This window comes from Homo sapiens, chromosome 1 (genome assembly GCF_000001405.40).
Source record: "Homo sapiens chromosome 1, GRCh38.p14 Primary Assembly".
NCBI lineage: Eukaryota > Metazoa > Chordata > Mammalia > Primates > Hominidae > Homo > Homo sapiens.
Window position 1 is genome coordinate 23,185,735 of NC_000001.11, and position 6,148 is coordinate 23,191,882.

General features: G+C 48.5%; 1 annotated feature.

Moving 5' to 3' along the window:
• Positions 2,824–4,023: an enhancer, noted in NCBI's record as "P300/CBP strongly-dependent group 1 enhancer chr1:23515051-23516250 (GRCh37/hg19 assembly coordinates)". NCBI's record gives its function as "activates an origin of replication core promoter dependent on BRD2, BRD4, P300/CBP, MED14 and CDK7 cofactors, with strong dependence on P300/CBP, by STARR-seq in HCT116 cells {active_cell/tissue: HCT116}" and the evidence as "EXISTENCE:reporter gene assay evidence [ECO:0000049][PMID:35650434]".

Genomic DNA, 6,148 nt, shown 5'->3' on the forward strand with positions numbered 1-6,148 from the left:
ATGAACAAGATGATGGCTGGGGGGACCTCAAAATCACATTTTATGGGGAAGAGTTGAAGGAGCCACTCTCTGACTGTGGTATATAAAATACTGAAGGGGTGCAATGTGTCCACTTCAAACATCTGAAGAGAGCACGTGGGCTTTGAGAACTAGGAACCAGGGGCTGCCACTTCTGGGAGACAGATTTTTCTTTCCCCAAAACCAAGGGAAGCTTTCAGTCAGAGCTCAATAAAGAACAAATATGCATTTGATCTCAGTCTGTCCCTAATGTGCTTTTAAGCTTGGCAAGTTCCCTCATGACTTTGAACCTCAGTTTTCTCACATATAAAATGGGCATAATATGGAACATGCAGGAACATGCAGGCCTCCCAAAGTGCTGGGATTACAGGCATGAGCCACCACGCCTGGCCAAGTTCTAAGTTTATCTTCAATTTGACTTTTTTTTTTTATGTTATGAGGGAATCATAGAAAGCATGTTTAAAGTGCCGAGTGGGCCAGGCACAGTGGCTCATGCCTGTAATCCCAGCACTTTGGGAGGCTGAGGTGGGCGGATCACGAGGTCAGGAGTTTGAGACCAGCCTGGCCAGTATGGTGAAACGCCCATCCCTACTAAAAATACAAAAATTAGCTGGGCATGGCGGCAGGTGCCTGTAATCCCAGTTACTCAGGAGGCTGAGGCAGGAGAATCGCTTGAACCCGGGAGGTGGAGGTTGCAGTGAGTTGAGATTGCGCCATTGCCCTCCACCCTGGCAACAAGAGTGGAACTCTGTCTCAAAAATAAATAATAAAAATAAATAAAGTGCCAAGTGCAAGGCCTGGCACCTGACTAGTTTTGGGTTAGTGTAGCTATGGTTAAAAAAATACAGAAAGGGTAGGGAGCGGTGGCTCATGCCTGTAATCCCAGCACTTTGGGAGGCCGAGGCGGTCGGATCACGAGGTCAAGAGATCAAGACCATCCTGGCCAACATGGTGAAACCCCGTCTCTACTAAAAATACAAAAAAAAAAAAATTATCTGGGTGTGGTGGCGCATGCCTGTGGTCCCAGCTATTCAGGAGGCTGAGGCAGAATAATCGCTTGAACCCAGGAGGCGGAGTTTGCAGTGAGCCGGGATCGTGCCACGGCACTGCAGCCTCGCGATAGAGCGAAACTCTGTCTTAAAAAAAAAATAGAGAAAGGTGATGAGCACCCTCTCAAACAACTGGTACAAGTGTTGCCAAGGAGGTGGTAGAGGCTGATGGCTAGCCATGCTGGCTCTCAGGTCATACTGCTAGATGTAATTCTGACTTTGCTATTTATTTATTTTTGTTTTATTTTTTGAGATAGGGTATTGCTCTGTCACCCAGGCTACAGTGCAGTGGCATGAACATGGCTCACTACAGCTTCAACCTCTCAGGTTCAAGGGATTCTCCCACCTCAGCCTCCTGAGTAGCTGGGACTACAGGTGCATGCCACCAAACCTGTCTAGTTTTTGTGTTTTTTTGTAGAGATGGGGTTTCACCATGTTGCCCAGGCTGGTATCAAACTCCTGAGCTCAAGGAATCCGCCCACCTAGGCCTCAGAAAGTACTGGGATTACAGGCTTGAACTATCATGCCCGCTGTCTTTGCTATTTAGTTGCAGCAATACCTTGAGTGAATTACTTAACCATTCTGAGTCTCAGTTTACCCATCTGCAAAATGGGGATAATAGTAGTTCCCACTTCACCAATTATAATGCATAAGCTGCTGCTCTGATGTTAGAGATCTGATTGGGATTGTCCTGGATGACCTTGAAGGCCCTCTCCCATCTGATACCCTCTAGGTCTAGAATTCCTACTCCTTCCCTTGGGAGCAAAATAGACGGGGGCCAGGGAAGCAGGTAAATGCACTATCTTAAGACCCTCAGATGCAGAGGACTACTCACATCTATCCTTGCCAGTGACCGTGTAAAAAGGGCACTTCTGCCTTCCTCCCCTCAGTCCACCTCTTCCTGTGACAGGTGGCTGGAATGCACCTGAGGGAGCTGAGGGCGTGGGGTGCGGCACAGGCTTGGTGGAGGACCGGCTGTCTGGCTTTGTAATCTGTTTCATGCACTTTGGTCCCCAGAGGAACTGTGAGCTCCATGAGGGACCCAGCTGCTGTATGGAGAACAGAAATTAGTCAACAGCATGGGGAGGATCAATGGGGAGGATCAGAGGTTGCCAACTGGTGGCCCAGAGGCCAAACCTTGTTCACAGGCTTGTTTGGTGATCTACATAGTTGCACCGTGTTTTCTGTGTGTGTGTGTGTGTGTGTGTGTGTGTGTGTATGTGTTTAGTTAATTCCTTATAAGCTAACTGTGGCCTAGTCTCATTCAATAACCTCCCCCAGTTTTGAACGCTCCAGAGTTGAGCATAGGCCCCAACCACCCTGAGGTTAACATTATTATTACCCACATTGTACAGAACAAACTGAGGCAGAGAGACATGAAGCAAGACTGTGGAAAAACTGGGACAGGTTCATTGGTTCTCAGATCAGTGCTTTCTTCACTGCTTTATGCTGCTCCTCAAAGCCACATGCCATTTTGACCCTGGCCATATCCCCTGGGGGTTAAGAGTGAGGATTCTGGGCTGCAGCTGTGTCTTGAATTCTGGTCCCACCACTTATCAGCAGGTGAAAATGGGCAAAGTATTTAATTTCTTGGGGCTTCCAGTTCCTCATCTGGAGGATAGTAATAGGACCAACTTCATGCAGGTTAAATGAGTTAATGCTCATAAAATGCTTAGGGCAGTACCTAGGTACACAGTAAGTGCTCAATAGACACTTGCTATTATCGTTACTTGAGTACTGGCTGTGTGCCAGGTACTAAGAGTACAAAGATCAATGAAATACCCTGCGGGGCTCCTAGTCTGATGAGAGATCATGGGACAGTGACATGCACCCTAAGGATGCTGACTGAGAAAGCAGAGGTGGGCCACGGTGCCCAAATATTTACTCAAACGTCAGGATTCACCTCCTGCGGGCTGCAGCCTGTTGCCATTTAAGCTGACCTGAGGCCTGGTGTGATGGTGCATGCCTGTAGTCCCAGCTACTTGGGAGGCAGGGGCAGGAGGATCGCCTGAGACCAGGAGTTCCAGGCTGTAGTATGCCATGATCATACCTGTGAATAGCCACTGTACTCCAGCCTAGGCAACATAGTGAGACCTCACCTCTAAAAAAAAACAAAAACAAAAAAATGGACTTAGGGTCCTGTGACCAGGGAACAGGATTGGCTGCAGGGTGGGCACTCTGCAGTGTCTGCCCACTTACATACACCATAAATTAGCAGAGTCCTGTGTTAGACAGGAACCTGCATCGTCACCATCACGCTGTGTGTGTGTCTGTGACTAAGCGTGAAGGAATTAGGGGCATGACAGGGATGGGTGGGAAGAAGAGGAGAAAGGCTCTAAACACAGGCTTCCCCTATGGTCATGAGAAACAAGTTTCTCTTTTTTTTTTTTCAGATGGAGTTTCGCTCTTGTTGTCCAGGCTGGAGTGCAATGGCGCAATCTCGGCTTGCTGCAACCTCCGCCTCCCAGTTCAAGCAATTCTGCCTCAGCCTCCCAAGTAGCTGGGATTACAGGCGCGTGCCGCCATGCCTGGCTAATTTTGTATTTTTAGTAGTGATGGGGTTTCTCCAGGTTGGTCAGACTGGTCTCAAACTCCCGACCTCAGGTGATCCACCCGCCCCGGCCTCCCAAAGTGCTGTGATTATAGGCATGAGCCACCGCGCCCGGCCTAAGTTCTAAGTTTACCTTCAATTTGACTTTTTTTTTTTTTGAGACAGGGTCTTGCTCTGTCACCCAGGCTGAAGTGCAGTGACACGATCATAGCTCACTGCAGTCTCAACCTCCCCGGCTCAAGCAATCCTCCCACCTTAGCCTCCCCAGTAGCTGAGACTACAGGTGTGTACCACCATACCCGCCTAATTTTTGCATTTTTAGTAGAGATGGGGTTTCACCATGTTGCCCAGGCTGGTCTCGAACTCTTGGGCTCAAGTGATCCTCCAGCTTTGCCCTCCCAAAGTGCTGGGATTACAGGAGTGTGCCACTGTGCCCAGCCCTGCCTGGGTGATTCTAATGCAGGTGGTACAGGGCTGCGCTGGATGATGTCTAGCATAAGCTTCAAATCAGCATGAGATTCCTCTGGATAACCAACCATCCCCTAAATCTTCGCCTCCCGCCTTTCCCTTTCCTTCCTGACACCCCATATTCCTGCCCCTCATTCTTCTTTCTGTGCCCAGAGACCCCACCAAATATTACAGGTCTCTGGGGCTCTGTTACTGCTCTTTTCTCCACCTGGTGTGGCCCTCCCTACCTTCCTCTGCTCTGTCCCATCTCCCCCAAGAGGTCTTGTCATACCTCCCCTCTCTTGGGCTCCTATCTATTCCACATGGGCTCAGCTTTTGGCAGTCTGCTGAAGTGTTCTCTCTTTATGAAACCTTCTCTAATATCACCTAACCATAAGCAGGTTTCTTTTATTTTTCTTTTTTCTTTTCTTTTTTTATTTTGAGACAGGGTCTCATTCTGTCTCTTAGGCTGGAGTGCAGTGGCATGATCAGGGCTCACTGTAGCCACAGCCTCTCGAGTAGCTGGGACTACTGGTGCGCTCCACCATGTCCGGTAATTTCTGTTGTTGTCGTTAGAGACGGGGTCTCCCTATGTTGCCCAGGCTGGTCTCAAACTCCTGAGCTCAAGTAGTCCTCCTCTTCAGCTTCCCAAAGTGCTGGGATCACAGGCATGAGCCACCATGCCCAGCCCATAAGCAGGTTTCTTTACCTCATCTATAAAATCAAGATGACAAGTAAATGAGAAAGTGTAAGCAAGGAGCATTATAGGCACTTAATAAATCATAGGTACTATTTTTATATTGCTGTTTGACGTTGAGTAGGTCAGTTTAAGAGCTCTTGTGCCAAGCACTGTAGTAACTTATACAGTAACTTATCTATTATTATCCCCGTTGTATATTTGAAAATGAGACAAAGAGAGATAAAGAAACTTTTCTAGGCCATGTGTGGTGGCTCATGCCTGTATTCCCAGCATTTTGGGAGGCCGAGGTGGGAGAATTGCTTGAGCCCAGAAGTTTGAAACCAGCCTGGGCAACATAGTGAGATCCCCATCTCTACCGAAAATTTTAAAAATTAGCCAGTCATAGTGGTGTGAGCCTGTGGTTCCAGCTACTCAGAAGGCTGAGCCTGGGAGGTCGAGGCTGCAGTGAGTCCCGATTGTGCCACTGTACTCCAGCCTGGGCAACAGAGCGAGACCTTGTCTTAAAAAGAAAAGAAAAGGGCCGGGCTTGGTGGCTCACACCTGTAATCCCAGCACTTTGGGAGGCTGAGGAGGGTGGATCACCTGAGGTCAGGAGTTCGAGACCAGCCTGGCCAACATGGTGAAACCCCATCTCTACTAAAAATACAAAAATTAGCCAGGTATGGTGGTGCATGCCTGTAATCCAAGCTACTCGGGAGGCTGAGGCAGAAGAATCGCTTGAACCCAGGGGGTGGAGATTGCAGAGAGCCGAGATCAGGCCATTGCACTCCAGCCTGGGCAACAAGAGCAAAACTCTGTCTGAAAAAAAAAAAAAGAAGAAAGAAAGAAAGAAAAAGAAAGAAACCTATCCAGGTTCATCCAGGAGAAACTGGCTGCAGTCGGATTTGAGCTGAGGCATCAGGTCCTGAGCCTTTTTTTTTTTTTTTCTTTTTGAGATAGGATCTTGCTCTGTCACCCAGGCCAGAGTGCAGTGACATGATCATGGCACACTGCAGCCTCAACCTCCCATGCTCAAGCAATCCTCCCACCTCAGCCTCCCAAGCAGCTGGTACTACAGGTGCACACCACCATGTCTGGATAATTTTTGTATTTTTTTGTAGAGGCAGGGTTTTGACATGTTTCCCATGCTGGTCTTGAACTCCTGGGCTCAAGCAATCCTCCCACCTTAGCCTCCCAAAGTGCTGGGATTATAGGTATGAGCCACTGAGGGTGGCCACTGAGCTCTTAATCATCATGCTATCCTTACTTTCTCACATCCTGATAGGAGATAACAAGTGCCAAGGCTGGAGCGTGGGACCTGGCCTGTGGTAGGTGCTCAACAAATGCTAGAGACTGAATTGAGTTGAATGGTTTCTACATCCAGGGAGAGGGGGAAAAATCACC